The sequence below is a fragment of the Homo sapiens genome, chromosome 4 (genome assembly GCF_000001405.40).
Source record: "Homo sapiens chromosome 4, GRCh38.p14 Primary Assembly".
NCBI classification, from domain to species: domain Eukaryota; kingdom Metazoa; phylum Chordata; class Mammalia; order Primates; family Hominidae; genus Homo; species Homo sapiens.
In genome coordinates this window covers 152,816,295-152,832,952 of record NC_000004.12, presented here as the reverse complement: position 1 = coordinate 152,832,952, position 16,658 = coordinate 152,816,295, and the positions used below count along the sequence as shown (strand labels likewise).

At 38.3% G+C, this 16,658-nt stretch overlaps 1 protein-coding gene across 6 annotated transcripts in view; it reads right to left on the bottom strand.

Moving 5' to 3' along the window:
• Window positions 1–16,658, bottom strand: part of ARFIP1 (ARF interacting protein 1) — a 132,404-nt gene that overhangs the window by 79,405 nt on the left and 36,341 nt on the right. For all 6 annotated transcript variants that reach the window (NM_001287432.2, NM_001025595.3, NM_001025593.3 and 3 more), the window contains one exon: window positions 3,227–3,328. In NM_001287432.2, the coding sequence (NP_001274361.1) occupies window positions 3,227–3,319 (93 nt within the window). In that variant the 5' untranslated portion in view covers window positions 3,320–3,328. The remainder of the gene's footprint in view (window positions 1–3,226; window positions 3,329–16,658) is intronic.

Here is a 16,658-nt window from a genome sequence, read left to right as displayed (position 1 = left end):
TTTCTTCTAGAAGTTTTATAATTTCAGGTCTTACAGTTAGGCTTTTAATTTATTTTGAGTTAGTTTTGTGTATGGTGTAAGATAAAGATCCAATTTAATTTTTTTGCATATGTATAGAAAGAAGAGTCTTTTCAAAAAACAGTGCTGATCAATTGAATATTTACATGAGAGGAAGAAAAATCTTGGTCCCTACTTCACATCATACACAAAAACTAATTCAAGATGAATCACAGACCATAGTGTGAAAAACAAAACAACACAACTTTTAGAAGAAACAAAGTGTCTTCAAGATACTGAAGTAGGCAAAGATTTCTTAAATGCGACATAAAAATTACTACAGAAGGAAACACTGAGAAATTGGACTTCATTAAAATTAACAACTTCTGTTCATCAAAAGATGCCATTAATAGAGTACAAAAACAAGACATAGACTGGAAGAAGATATTTGCATATATACATCCAAACAAATGGCATATACCCAGAATATATAAAGAACTCCTACAAATAGATTAGAAAAAAAGACACACACCCAGTAGAAAAACGGGCAAAAGGCTTGGAAAAGTACTTTATAAAAGACAATCTCCAATGGTCAATAAGAATATGAAAATGTGCTCAACATCATAGTCATCAGGGAACAGCATTTTATAACCACAATGGGATACCATTAAAAGAATGGCTAAAATTGAAATGTATGACAATATGAAGAGCTAGTAAGGATGTGGAACAACTAGAACTCTCATTCATTGCTGGTGTTGCCAGCTGGTCCAACCATTTGCCAAACATTCATATACTCGTGACCTGGCAATTTCACTCTTGGGTATGTACTCAATAAAAACAAATAATCAAGTACACCAAAAAATCTGCACAAGAATGGTCACAGCAGCTTTATTCATAATAATCATAAACTGGAAACAACCTAGATAACAATCAGCTGAAGAATGGATATACAAACTGTGGTATATTAACACACTGGAAAACTATACTACAATTTTAAACACTGAAATACTCGGGGGGTGGGGGGCAAAGGGAGGGAGAGCATTAGGACAAATACCTAATGCATGCAGGGCTTAAAACCTAGATGATGGGTTGACAGGTGCAGCGAACCACCATGGCACATGTATACCTATGTAACAAACCTGCACGTTCTGCATATGTATCCCAGAACTTAAAATTTAAAAAAAAAGATAGAAAAACTGCTATAAGCAACAATATGACTGAATCTCACAGACATAATGTTGAGTGAAAGCCAGTTGAAAAAGAGTACACACTGTATGATTCCACTGATAGGTATTTCAGAAACAGCCAAAAGCAATTTATGATTATAGAGTTAGGTTAATGTGGTTATCCCAGGATGGGATGAGTTGTATTGCCTAGAGGGCATAAGGAAGCCTTCTGAGGTCCTGGAAATGTTCTACATCTTTATCTGAGCGGTAGTTCTCTTGAGTGGTACACTTAACATTTGTGCTTTCTGCTGTGTAGAAGCTATACCTCAATAAAGAAGAAGAAGAAAAAAAATAGGCTTAAGATGGCAAGTGACTTCCCTAACCATGAATGCAACATTTTCTATGTATTGCATTACTCTTGGATAAAGGTCCTCAGCTTTCATCAGATTGTCTTTTAAAATATCAACTACCTGATGACAGATATTTTTGTTCACTGTATATCCCCAGTACCTGGTACAGAGCAGATATTCAGTAAATACTTGCATAGTAAGTTTGCAAAAAGAGCTGTTACCAAAAATAAGATGAAGAAATCATTAACTTGAATCTTGGCATAATTAGTATTAAAATTAGTAAAAGTTTATCAGGTAATTGGTATAGTCTAATGATGCTAACTTGAGTTTCTTTATTATGCAGGTGTGTCTTGGAAAGACTAAAATCTGAAATGAAAATTTCTTTTGTGTGCTCAGAATTTAAAAGTCTCTTGGTTCTATGAGTCACTCTATATTGGACCACAAGTGCTCAGAAACCAAGTTAAAGCACTTGCCATTAAAATAAACCTCGAGCTTGAAGACATACTAGTTCTTTTCAAAAGACTGTTAATGCAAAAATAAATGAAATTCAGTGGACACTTCTACTATTATTTAAACCGATCTATTTATAACAGTAATTCTCAACCAAGGAGGAATTTGTCCCCTCTCCTGGAGACATTCAGCAATATCTGGACATATCTGCTTGTCATAACTGCAGGGTACTACTGGCATCTATTAAATAGTAGGAAGAGGCCAGGAATGTGCCAACCATCCTACAATGTATAGGCCAATACACCCAACAAAGTACAATTTGGCCCAAAATGTCAACAGTGCTAAGACTGAGAAATCCTGATTTAAGTTATCACCTTCTGCTAACTAAAAGATTTTATTCTTAAACACATGGAGTAAAGAGTCCTATTTAAACTACATAATAATTTAAGTACATTTCAACCACTACTTTTTCAAAAATACGAAAACTCTGTTTTTAAAGTTGTACACTTGCATCAAATGTCATAAAAAGGAATGTTTAATGCAAGTATCTCCAGAAATAATAACCATCACTATCATTTCTATGACTATATTAGACATATTATCTCATTTAATATTAATATCTTCATGAAAGTAAATAAGATATTCATTGTAGAGATTAGAAAACAAAAACCTGAAGAGATTAAATAAATAACTGGCTCAAGGTTATACTGCTAGAAATGTGGCATAGCTGAAATTTGAACCCAGATTATCTTCAAACCCATGGTGTTCCCATTAAAATGCAATAAAATTAAATTTCGACTGAGAGACAGATCAAAATTAAATGCACCCCGAGTATCATTTTCCACTGAGTCAAGTATGGCACTTTAGAAAATGAACAGCAAAATCAGAAGTGGCTATTTAGAAATTATGTACTAAATGACATATATATAGAAAAGTTATTAGTGCCAATTTTAAAAGGATAATCTTTTTATTACAAACAGAATTAATAGTCTTATAAAGTTAGATACCAAAATCATCAGACATACTTTTGTGCTGATCAATTACTGAAAATAAACCAAAGCCTAATAGTTTACTGGCCTGGAGCTTAATCTTGACAAACTACTAAAATGGCCTTCCTTGTCATCCCTATATAATAACATTAGATTCCTGACTGAAGCCAATCTAAGAAAACAATCCTATATTAAATTTTGTCTATTACTTTCATCTCAACATTTAAAGACTTACCATGATTCTTTGCATTAAGAGAAAGAAAAGTGTTCTTACCCTATTAAAGCTATGTTCACGAGAGTCATCAACTTCTCCATTACTAGTCACTGGAATTTCTGCTGCTGAATTTTTGGGAGATTCTTGAGCCATGGTAGACTCCTAAAACAAAAGAAGAAAAAAAGCGCCGTAACTAATACCAAATCATAAAGACTATATTCATGTTTATAGTACTTACAAGCCACCGTTTTAATATTTTTTATCATTGCAACCTACCAAATACTTGTATAATAAACAGAATACATATATAATTTTAAAATTCCATCTGGCTGCTTTAACTTCACTTAACCTAAACTTCTTAATTAAAAATGAGTTACATATTTGTTGTAGGTACCAGAGGCACTATCCTTGCCTCTTAAATAGTGTTATGATAGAACACCACTTACAATTGGAAAAAAAAAATTACAGAAAGCCAAGCTTGGTTGTTAATTCAACTACAGCAGCTCCATTTTTCCAACTGGAGTACTGCGAAGACAAATGAGAGCACAGGGCAGAGTAGAATTAGGTTGGTAACAGATCACTAGCTTAAAAATCCACAAACTTTAGTTGACAAGTGTTATCAAAATAATTCCGTGTCTATCACCAGACTTCAAGACTAGCTGGAAAGCTACAATAATCAAGACAATGTGGTATTGGTGAAAGAACAGACAAATAGGTCAGTGGAACAGGGAGCCCAGAAACAGACCCACATTAATGTAGTCAACTGATCTCTGACAAAGTGGAAAGGCAATGCAAAGGTGAAAAGACTGTATTTTCCACAATGGTGCTGGAATAATGGTGCTGGACATCCACATGCAAAAAATGAATCCACATAAAGATCTTACACTGTTCATAAAAATTAACTCAAAATGGATCACAGACCTAAGTGCAAAATGCAAACCATAAAGCTCATAAAGAGAGCATAGGAGAAAACCTAGATGACCGTGGGTATGGTGATGACTTCTTAGATACGACACCAATGCCATAATCCATGAAAGAAAAAACTGATAGGCTGTACTTCATTAAAATTTAAGATTTCTGCTCCACAGAAAACATATGAAGGACTGAGAAGACAAGCCACGGACTGGGAGAATGTATTTGCAAAGAACACATCTGATAAAGGACTGTTATCTAAAATATACAAAGAATTCTTAATACTCAACATTAAGAAAACAACCCAACTAAAAATGGGCAAAAGATCAGAACAGATGTTTTATCAAAACAGATGTTTCATCAAAGACAATGTAAAGTGGCTAGTAAGCATATGAAAAGATGTTCAACATCATATGTCATAAGGGAATTGCAAATTAAAACAATAATGAGATACTATAACAAAATTATTAGAATGGCCAAATCCTGTAACACTGACAACACCAAATGCTGACAAGGATGTGAAGCAACAGGAACTCTCACTCACTGCTAGAAGGAATGCAAACTGGTACAGCCACTATGAAACAGAGTTTGGTAGTTTCTCGCAAAATTAAACATACTCTTACATATGATTCAGCAATTGTGTTCTTTGGTATTTGCCCAAATGAACTGAAAACTTACTTACCCACAGAAAAATTTACACACAGATGTTTACAGCAGCCTTATTTATTTATAACAATTTATAATTGCCAAAACTTGGAAGCAATCAAGAGACCCTTCAGTGAACAGATAAAATGTGGTACATACATAAATGGAAGATTATTTAGCACTAAACGTAAATAAGCTATTAAGTCACAAAAAGACATGGAGGAAATTTATGCAAATTACTAAATGAAAGAACCTAGGCCAAGTGCAGTGGTTCATGTCTGTAATCCCAACATTTTGGGAGGCTGAGGCAGTGGATTGCTTCAGCCCAGGAGTTTGAGACTAGCCTGGGGAACATAGCGAAACCCGTCTCTACAAACAATACAAAAATTAGCTGGGTGTGCTGGTGCATTCCTGTAGTCCCAACTACTTGGGAGGCTGGGGTGGGAGGATCATTTGAGCCCAGGAGGTAGAGGCTGCTGTGAGCCAACATCACAACACTGTACTCCAGCCTGGGCAACAGAGCAAGATGCTGTCTCAAACAAACAAAAAACCCAATTTGAAAAGGCTACATACTGTATGATTCCAACTATATGATGTTCTGGAAAGGGTAAAACTATAGAGGCAGTAAAAAGACAAGAGGGTGCTAGAAGTTAGTGAGGAAGGAAGAACAGGCTGAACACAGAGGGTTTTTAAGGCAGAGAAACTTTTCTGTATACTACAGTGGCGGATACATGTCATTATACATTTGTCAAAATCCACAGAATGTACAACACCAAGAATGAACCCTAAGGTAAAGTACGAACTTGGGGTGATGATGTGTCAATGTAGGGTCATCAATTTTAACGAATGTACCACTCTAGCGAGGGATGTCAACAGTTGTGCATGTATGGGAACAGGCAGTACAGGGGAACTCTCTGTGCTTTCTTCTCAATTTTGCTGTGAAAACTGCTCTTGAAAATAATTAAAAATAGTAATAATGCTGTCTAAATCTGCCACTGCTTCTAAATTATGACCTTATGAAAGAATTGTTCCTAGATTATTTTTAAAAATTATTGTAAAAAACACGTAACATAAAAATTACCATCTTAACCTATGTGTATAGTTCAGTACTGTTAAGTATATTCACATTGTTATGCAATCAATCTCCAAAACTTTTTCATCTTATAAAATTGAAACAGTATAACCCATTAAGTTGCTCTCCATTTTCCACCTCCCCACAGAATCTGGCAACCACTACCCTACTTGTTGCTATGAATTTGACTACTCTAGGTAAGTGGAATTGTACAGTATTTATCTTTTCGTGATTGGCTATTTCACTTAACATAATGTCTTCAAGGTTTATCCATGTGGTAGCATGTGTCAAAATTTTCTTCCATTTTAAGGCTGGGTAATATTTTCTTGTATGTATATACCACATATATGTATCCATTCATCCCGTGATGGATACTTGGGTTGCTTCAAACGTTTAGCTATTGTGAACAGTGCTGCTACAAACATGGGTGTGCAAGATCCTGCAAGATCCTGCTTTCAATTCTTTTGGATATACACCCAGAAGTAGTATTACTAGATCATACTGTAATTCTATTTTTTAAATAAAATTTTTTATTTCAATAGCTTTAGGGGTACAAGTGGTTTTTGATTACATGGATGAAGTACGTAGTAGGGAAGTCTAAGGTTTTAGTTCACCCGTCACCCCGGTAGTGTACATTGTACCCTATAGGTAGTTTTTTATCCCTCACTCCCCAGCACCCTCCCCTCTTCTGAGTCTCCAATGTCCATTATGCCACTCTGTGTGGCTTCGTGTACCCACAGCTAAGTCCCCACTTATAAGTGAGAACATGTGGTATCTGGTTTTTTGATTCCTGAGTTGTTTCACTTAGAATAATGGCCTACCATTATTGGTTCTATCCAAGTCACTGCAAGATATTATTTCATTCTTTTTTGTTAAGTAGTATTCCATGGTATATATAAACCCCATTTTCTTTATCTACTCATTGGTTGTTGGGCACTGAGGTTGATTCCATATCTTTGCAACTGTGAACTGTGCTGCAATACACCTATGTGCAGTTTTGATATAGTGACTTTTTTTCCTTTGGGTAGATACCCAGTAGTGGGAATGCTGGGTTAAATGGTAGATCTACTTTTACTTCTTTGAGATCTCTACATACTGTTTTATCACCAGCAACGTATAAGCATTCCTTTTTCACCACATTCATGCCAACATCTACTTTTTGACTTTTTAATCATGGCCATTCTGGGTGGGGTAAGGTGGTATCTCACGGTGGTTTTAATTTGCAGTTCCCTGAAGATTAGTGATGTTGAACATTTTTTCATGTTTGTTGGCCATTTGTGTATTTCTTTTGAGAAATGTCTGGTCATGTCATTTGCCCACTTTTTAATGGAATTACTTGTTCCTTGAAGATTCTGGATATTGGCTGTCAGATGCATAATTTGCAAATATTTTCTCCCATTCTGTAGGTTGTCTGTTTATTCTGATGATTATTTCTTTTGCTGTGCAGAAGCTTTGTTTAGTTAAGTTGCATTTATTTATCTTTGTTTTTCTTGCATTTGCTTTTGGGGTCTTAGTCATAAATTCTTTGCCTAGGCCAATGTCCAGAAGAGTTTTTGCTAGGTTTTCTTCCAGAATGTTTATGGTTTCAGATCTTAAGTCTTTAATCCATCTTGAGTTAATTTTTGTATGTGGTGACAGGCAAGGGTCCAGTTTCATTCTTCTACATGGTTATCCAATTTCCTCAGCACCATTTATTGAATAGTGTGTCCTTTCCCCACTCTGCTTTTGTATGCATTGTCAAAGATCAGTTGGTTGTATTTGGCTTTATTTCTGGGTTCCCTATTCTGTTCTATTATTCTAAGTACCTACTTTTATGCCAGTACCACACTGTTTTGGTTTACTATAGCCTTATAGTATAGTTTGAAGTGGGGTAATGTGATGCCTCTAGATTTATTCCTTTTGCTTAGGATTTTGGCTATTTGGGCTCTTTTTTGGTTCCATATGAATTTTAGGATTTTTTTTTCTAATTCTGTGAAAAATTATGCTGATATTTTGATAGGAATTTCACTGATTCTTTGGGCAGTATGGTCGTTTTCAGAATACAGATTCTTATGGAATGTATTTTCATTCGTTTGTGTCATCTATTATTTCTTTCAGCAGTGTTTTGTAGTTCTCCTTGTGAAGATTTTTTGCCTCCTTGGTTAAGTGTGTGTGTGTATATGTATGTGTGTGTGTGTGTATGTATGTGTGGTGTGCGTGTGTGTATATATATATCAATTGTAAAAGGAATTGAGTTACTGAGTTGATTCTCTGCTTGGCTGTTGTTGGTGTATAGCAGTGCTACTATTTTGTGTACACTGATTTTGTATACTGAGACTTTATTCAATTCATTTATCTGATTGAGGAGTCTTCTGGAGGAGTCCTTAGGGTTTTCTAGGTATCCAATCATTGGCAAACAGAGATCACCGGACTTCCTCTTTTCCAATTTGGATGCCCTTTGTTTCTTTCTTTTGCCTGATTCCTCTGGTTAGGACTTCTAGTACTATAATATGTTGAATAGAAGCAGTGAAAGCGGGCATGCTTCCCTTGTTCCAGTCCTTAGGGGGAATACTTTCAGCTTCTCCTTGTTCAGCATGATGCTGGCTGTTGAGTGTGTCACATATGGCTTTATTTTGAGGTATGTTCCTTCTATGCCTAGTTTGTTGAGGGTTTTTATCATAAAGGGATGCTGAATTTTATCAAATGCTTTTTCTGCATTTATTGAGATGATCATACCATTTTTGTTTTTAATTCTGTTCATATGATGAATCACATTTATTGACTTGCATATGCTGAACCATCTCTGAATCCCTGGAAAGAAATTCACTCGATCATGGAGAATTACCTTTTTACTTTTTTTTTTTTTTGATAAGAGTCTTGCTCTGTCGCCCAGGCTGGAGTGCAGTGGCATGATCAAGGCTCCCTGCAACCTCTGCCTCCTGGGTTCAAGTGATTCTCCTGCCTCAGCCTCCCGAGTAGCTGGGATTACAGGCCTGCACCAACACTTCCAGCTAATTTTTGTATTTTTAGTAGAGAGGGGGTTTCACCATGTTGGCCAGGCTGGTCTGGAACTCCTGGCCTCAAGTGATCCACCCGCCTTGGCCTCCCAAAGTGCTAGGATTACAGGCGGGAGACACTGCACCTGGCCTCATGGGGAATTATTTTTTTGATGTGCTATTGGATTCAGTTTGCTAATATTTTGTTAAGAATTTTCACATCTATGTTCATCAGGTATATTGGTCTGTAGTTTTCTTTTTTGTTATGTCCTTCCCTGGTTTTGGCATCAGGGTGATACTGGCCCCATAAGATGAGTTAGGGAGCAATCCCTCCTTCTCGAGTTTTTGGAAAAATTTCAGTAAAATTGGTACCAATTCTTTTTTTTTTTTTTTTTTTTTTTTTTTTGAGATGGAGACTTGCTGTGTTGCCCAGGCTGGAGTGTAGTGGTGTGATCTCGGCTCACTGGAGCCTCCGCCTCCTGGGTTCAAGTGATTCTCCTGCCTCAGCCTCCCAAGTAGCTGGGACTACAGGCACATGCCACAGCCCAGCTAATTTTTGTATTTTTAGTAGAGACGGGGTTTCACCATGTTGGCTGGGCTGGTCTCGAACTCCTGACCTCAAGTGATCTCTGCCTTGGCCTCCCAAAGGGCTGGGATTACAGGCATAAACCACTGTGCCCAGCCAGAACTGGTATCATTTCTTTGAATATCTGGTAGAATTCAGCTGTCTCCATCTGGCTGTGGGCTTCTTAAAATTGGCAGTTTTATTTATTTTTTTTAAATTACTGAATCAATCTCACTGCTTGCTATTGATGTGTTCAGGATTTCTATTTCTTCTTGATTCAAGCTTGAGGGGTTGTATGATTCCAGGAATGTATCTATTCCCTCTAGATTTTCTAGTTTGTATGCATAACAGGTGTCCACAGTAGTCTCGAATGATGTTTTGTATTTGTGTGGTAGCAGTTGTAATGTCTCCATTTTCATTTCCAATTGAGATTATTTGAATCTTCTGTGTTCTTTTCTTGGTTCATCTAGCGAGTAGTTTATCAGTTTTGCTTATCTTTTCAAAGAACCAGCTTTTTTTTCACTGATATTTTGTATTTTTTTGTTTCAATTTCATTTAATTATGCTCTGATCTTTGTTATTTTTCTTCTGCTAGCTTTGGGTTTGATTTGTTCTTGTTTCTCTAGTTCCTTGAGGTGTGATGTTAGGTTGCCAATTTATAATATTTCATATTTTTTTATGTAGGTGTTTAGCACATTTGTTAGCACTGCTTTTGCTGTATCCCAGAAGTTCTGAAAACTTGTTTCACTGTTATCATTCACTGCAAAAATTTTTTAAATTTCCATCTTCATTTCACTGTTAACCCAGACAACATTCAAGAGCAGATTGTTCATTTCCATGTCTATGTATGGTTTTGGGTTCTTTTTAGAATTGAGTTCCAGTTTTATTCTGCTGTGATCTGAGAAGATACCTGATATAATTCTGATTTTTAAAAAATTATTGAGACTTGTTTTGTGGCCTATCATGTGATATACCTTGGAGAATGTTGTGTGTGCTGATGAGAATCATGTTTATTCTGCGGTTCCTGGGTGGAATGTTCTATAAATATGTTAGATCTATTTGTTCTACAGTGTAGCTTGACTCCAGTGTTTCTTTGTTGACTTTCTGCCTCAATGATTTGTCTACTGTCACCAGTGGAGTACTGAAGTCCCAAACTATTTTTGTGTTGCTGTCTGTGTCTTTTCTTAGGTCTAGCAGTAATTGCTTTACAAACATGGAAGCTCCAAAGTTAGGTGCATATATGCTTAGGACTGTAACATTTTCTTGTTGAACTTTTTACTATTATATAATGACCTTGTCTTTTTTTTTTTTTTTTTTTTTTTACTGCTGTTGCTTTTATAGTCTGTTTGATCTGATATAATGGCTACTCTTGCTTGCTTTTGATTTCAACTTGTGCGAAATCTTTTTCCATCCCTCTACCTTGAGTCTGTAAGAATCCTTATGTGTTATCTGTGTCTTCTAAAGTCAGCAGATACTTGGTTTGCAATTTTTTTATCCATTCTGCCAATCTGTATCTTTTAAATAGATCATCATGTTGTTACCTAGTGACTGTTTTCTTCACTGTATTATTGTTTTATGAAATCCTTGTGAATTTTATGCCTTCAGAAATTTCTATTCTGATATGTATCAACCTTTTGTTTCAAGATTTAGAACTCCTTTTAACATTTCTTGTAGGGCTAGTCTAGTATTGACAAATTCCCTTGGCATTTGCTTGTCTTGAGACTTTATTTCTCCTTCATTTATACAACTTAGTTTTGCTGGATGTTATTCTGTTTAATGAGACTAAAGATAGGACCCCAATCCCTTCTGGCTTATAAGGTTTCTGCTGAGAAGTCTGCTGTTAGTCTGTTTTTCTTTATAGGTTACCTGATGCTTTTGTCTAACTGCTCTAGGAATTCTTTCCTTCATGCAGACTTTAGATAGCCTGATGACTATATGCCCTGGTGATGTCCTTTTTGCAATGAGTTTCCCAGGAGTTCTTTAAGCTTCTTTTATTTGGATGTCTAAATCTCCAACAAGGCCAGGGAGTTTTCCTCAATTATTCCCTTAAATAAGTTTTCCAATTTTTTTTTCTTTTTCTTCTCTTAGGAACACCTATAATTGTTAAGTTTGGCCATTTTGTATAATTCCCTATTTCCGGATGACTTTGTTCATTTCTTTTAATTCTTCTGTCATAATTTTTGTCTGACTGGGCTGATTCAAAAGTCTTGTCTTTGAGTTCTGAAATTCTTTTTCCTACTTGGTCTAGTCTATTGTTAAAGCTTGCCACTGCATGTTGTAGTTCCCTAAATATGTCTTTCGCTTCCAGAAGTTCTGGTTGGTTTTTCTTTAAAATATCAATTTAGAAAATTTTCATTCATATCCTGAATTGTTTTTTAAATTTATGTTGGTTTTAGCCTTTCTGTTCTTTTGTATCTCCTTCAGTGACTTAATAATCAACCTTTTGAGTTCTTTATCTGGTATTTCAAAGATCTCATCTTAATTTGGATCCACTGCTGGAGAAGTGGTGTGATCTCTTGGGGGTGACTCTCCCTCTGTTTTTTCATATTGCCAGAATTAGTTTTCTGGTTCCTTCTCATGTGAGCAGACTATTTCTTCTAACTATTTTTTGAATTTATTTTTTATTGTACTGGGTTCTTTTAAAAATTTCCTTTTCTCCCCCTTGAGCATGTGACTTAAATGTTTGTAGTTTATTGTCACTTAGCTTCAGCTCCGGGTGCTTTCAGTGGTGAAGACTCTGTATGAGTTCCTTGGTTATGTAGAGTCTTTGTGTGATGGCTTTGCCAGATGCCAGTCGCAGGAGAAATGTGCTGGGTGTGTGATATGGTTTGGATTTGTGTCCCTGCCCAAATCTCATGTTGAACTGTAATTCCCAATGTTGGAAGAGGAGCCTGGTGGGAGGTGATTGGATCATGGGGGCAGATTTCCCCCTTGCTGTTCTTGCGATAGTGAGTTCTCATGAAAACTGGTTGTTTCAAAGTGTGTAGCACTTCCCCCTTCATTCTCTTCCTCCTGCTCCAGCCATATAGGATGTGCCTGCTTCCCCTTCACCTTCCACTACGACTGTAAGTTTCCTCAGGCCTCCCAAGCCATGCTTCCTGAACAGGCTGTGGAACCATGAGCCAATTAAGCCTCTTTTCTTCATAAATTACCCAGTCTCAGATAGTTTTTTTAGCAATGTAAGAACAAACTAATACAGTGTGTGAGAAGGTTCACTGTCTCCTATGGGGCTGGAATGGCAGAGGTCTCATGAAGCTTATTGTTCCCCAGTAGTGTGCACTTTCTAAATTTTTTTCCCCAGTATTTTATTCACCAGGTTGAACAGTTCAGGGTTTATGCCAGTAGGAGGTGCCCATGGGTAAAAACTGGCCGCAGCAAAGACAGGTGGGTAAATGCAATACTGCAATGGTGGGCAGAGGTCCCAGCCTTGACAGAAGTGGCTGTGGAAGCTCTCGGTGAAATGCACTGAGGTCTTCTTTGGGGGTGGGGGGGCCACCACAGCTCTTCTTCCAAGCCAGCAGGAAAGCAGTCTACCTCCCAATCACACTCTTGACCCAGTGTTCCAGCTATTCAGATCACAGACAGGCACCTCTTTTCATCTGCAGGAATGCTGATGTTACACATACAGAAGAGTTGTGACTCCACCTCTCATGCAAACCTGAATCTGGAAGGCACTCCTCCTATGTGGATGTAGTCACCCTGAAATGTTCCAGAAATGCTGTCTAAAGAGGCACCCGCAATGAGCTCCCTAGGAGAAGCTGTAGCTATGTTTGCAGTGGTGGGCAAGAGGGAGAAGTAATCTCCTTCTCCAAGACCCTTCAGGAGCACCAGGGCTGCCTGACTGTTGAGGTAGAGCTGCACTTTGTCTACCAAGCCCAGAACTGCACTTGTGCCTCTGCTGAAAGAAACTTCCCCCAAGTAGAAAATTCATGGATTCAAGGCCTGCAGTCTAGTTTCCTTTGTCCCACGGGGTACTCCCTTAATGTGGCTCACTCACTCACTCCCTTCCCCTAGGAGTAGCAGTCGCTGAGGGCCCATACTGTGAATCCTGCTGCTCCTCTGGGTGTAGCTGCCCAGTGAAGCTGCCATACTCCAGGCTGGTGCTGGGGAATGTCTGCAGTAGATTCAGTGACGTAACCTGTCCTCTAGTCTCCCAGCAGCAGGTACCAGCAGCAGCTCCGATGGGGGTGGGAGGGAAGTGACGTAGATGGAGATTTCCTTGTAAAGAGCCTTAGTGTGTTGCCTTTCTGAAATGCCAGCATAGCAGTAATGTACTGGGTACATGAACAGACTGAAGGCCTTCTAGTTAGCCAGGGTGATGCAGGCGATGGCAATAGTTGAGGTCATGCCACAGTTTTCTCTTTCCTGAGTGCTGTGTTATTGTGCCTGCAGATGCTGTAACGGGGCTGTGCCAGCTGTCCATCAGCCAGGAGGTAGCACTTGCAACTGCACCAGCTACAGTGGTAGTGGTGGAATTTGTGTTTGCCTTATGTTACCCAGGGGAGGTACTCTGCTGCCTCAGGTAATGGGCAGGGCCATGGGGTTCCCAAAGGCCCCTGCCCATTGTGTTACACGACCAGGGCAAGTGAAGGAGCAAAGCTGGGTGGGGGCTGGGTCAGGCAAGTCCTTTCTCTGGCTCCCCAGGTACGAGCACAAGCAGCAGCACCTTGTGTTCAGAAGGTAGTTTCCTGGCTGCTGGGGTAATGTTCCAGGGAGAAGCGCACATGCTTTTGTTGTACAAAAGAATCTGCGTGGGAAGGAGGGGTTGCAGGCAGCACTAAGTCCCACTCAGCTCCTATGCACTTGGCAAGGCAGGTCTCACAACCCATAGTGTTCTGCTAGCAGCAGCCACCTAGGTCCTAGGCAGCCTACATTTGGAAGGCAAAACTGCCCCCAGGCCACCAACCTATTCAGAGACACAGAAATCACAGTTTCCGAGAAACACCATTCCCAGTCTGTGGAAGCAGGAGTGCCCAGTTTCTGTGCCTGTGGCTACAGCACACTTACTGTTCCTCCCTTAATTCTGGCCAAAGGTGTTCATCCTCACTCAAGTTTATAGCACAAATCTCAGTTGGGAGCTTCTCTCAACCTGTGACCTCAGCCTGAGTTAGCTGACATGAGGTCCCCTGTGATAGGGAATGGCTTCCCTCCGTCCCTGCTGGAGTCTGGGCGTGCATGCAAAGCCCATCCTGATGGGGCTCCTTCCCATATATTCCCCACTGCTCACTAAATCAGCTCCAGTGCTGGACAGGGTTAAAGCCTTCCCCTCATGGCCTGGATTACTGGGTTCCCCAGTGGGAGTGTGTGTCACGGCAGCTGTCTCTCCCCTTCCCAAGCTCTGGAGACACCATTTTCTGTCGGGTTCATGGTGTAGGCTACTGCCTGCTGCTTCTTTCAGAGGGTCTGTAGTTTCCGTTTTTCTGTTAAGTTCCTATGTTGCTTCTTGGAAAAATGTTCACAGTGTGAATTTCTACACACTATTTTGTTTTTCCAAGTGGGACAGGCATGCTAACAATGTCTCCAGTCTGCCATCTTGGGGAAAAAAGAACTATTTTTAATTTTTTGGGAAACCACCATACTGTTTTCCATAGCAGCTGCATCATTTTACATTTCCACCATCAGTGCACAAGGATTCCAATCTCTGCATCTTACCAACACTTGTTATTTACTGTTTTTTTCTAATAGCTGCCATCCTAATAAGTGTACAGTGATATCTCATTGTAGTTTTGATTTGCATTACCCTAATGGTTAATGATATTGAGTATCTTTTCATATGCTTGTTGGCTACATGTATATCATCTTTGTAGAAATATCTATTCAAGTCCTTTGCCCATTTTAAAATTGGGTTGTTAGGGGGTTTTTGTTGTTGTTGAGTTATACAAGTCCTTTATATATTCTGGATATTTACTTCTTATCAAATGCATAACTTGCAAATATTTTCTCCCATTCTATAGGTTGCCTTTTCACTCTGTTGTGTCCTTTGATGCACAGAAGTTTTTCATTTTCTAGTCCAATTTGTCTATTTTTACTTTTGTTGCTTGTGCTTTGGTTTCATAACCAGGAAATCCTTGCCAAATCAGATGTCAGAAAACATTTCCTGTTTTCTCCTAAGACTTTTATAGTCTTAGGTCTACATTTAGGTCTTTGATTCATTCTGAGTTAATTTTTGTATATGGTGTGAGGTAAGAGTCCAACATCATTCTTTTGCATGTGGATATCCAGTTTTTCCAGCATGATTTGTTAAAGAGACTATCCTGTCTCCATTTAATGGTCTTGGCATTTTTGAAATACCTATTTTCCTTCCTGTCACTGCATTCTCACACTACATCTAGATTATTTGTGGCTACTGGAGTTAAGTTTCTGTTCCTTGCAAATAAGAGATATACACACACTAGTATTTGGACTCTAATTAGGAAGACTAAGATCCAGCTCTCTAAATAATCACTACCTTTTCAAATTACGCTATTATGTTCTACTTCATTCCTCCTAAAAACAGCTGGTGATTCAACAGGTATTTACTATATACCTACTATTGTGGGCAATGTGCATGAGATAAAACAGAAATATAAATCAGTTTTCAGCCTTCTAGAAACTTAAAGTGTTTTTGGCAGATAAAAAATTATAATCAGTGTTGTGAGCATGAAGAGGGAAACAATGTTGTGAGCAATAAGATGAAAAACTTAACAGAGGTAACATTTAAGCTAAATCTTGTACGATAACAGATTACGAATATAGTAAAGGAAAGATCCTCAATAGGAGGAATAAGAAGGAGAGTGGAAAAAGAGTCATATATTCTAGAAACTGCAAGTAAAGCAACTTGGCTAGAATGGTGATTGCTCACTCACACATTCATCAGTCCAACTAATTTATCAAACTCTATAATGTGCTAGGTACAATTTCAGACATACAGTATATTTTGTGATGTTTTGTGAAGAACAAAACGGACAAAGCCCCCTGCTCTCATAGAGCTTACATTCTAGTTGGGAAAAACAAACAAATATACATGTCATATAGTCATAAATGTTCATGGTCATGTATGTGTATATGTGTTCACACTTGTGCTGTTTTAGATATGGTGGTCAGGGAAAACCTCAGAAAAGGTATATTTTTGTGAGACCTGAATAAAGTGAGGGAGTAAGTCATAAAGACAGCTACAACACTGCAGGCAGAGAGAACAGTAAGTACAAGTATCAGGAGGTGGTATCATGCTCAGCTTTTCAAGGAATGGCAAGAAGGCCAGGTGGTTTGAGGGAAGACAGCAAGGGGGAGAAAAGGAGGAAATGGCAGAGAGATGGCCAGTGGCAAGAACGTGTGTGACTTCAAA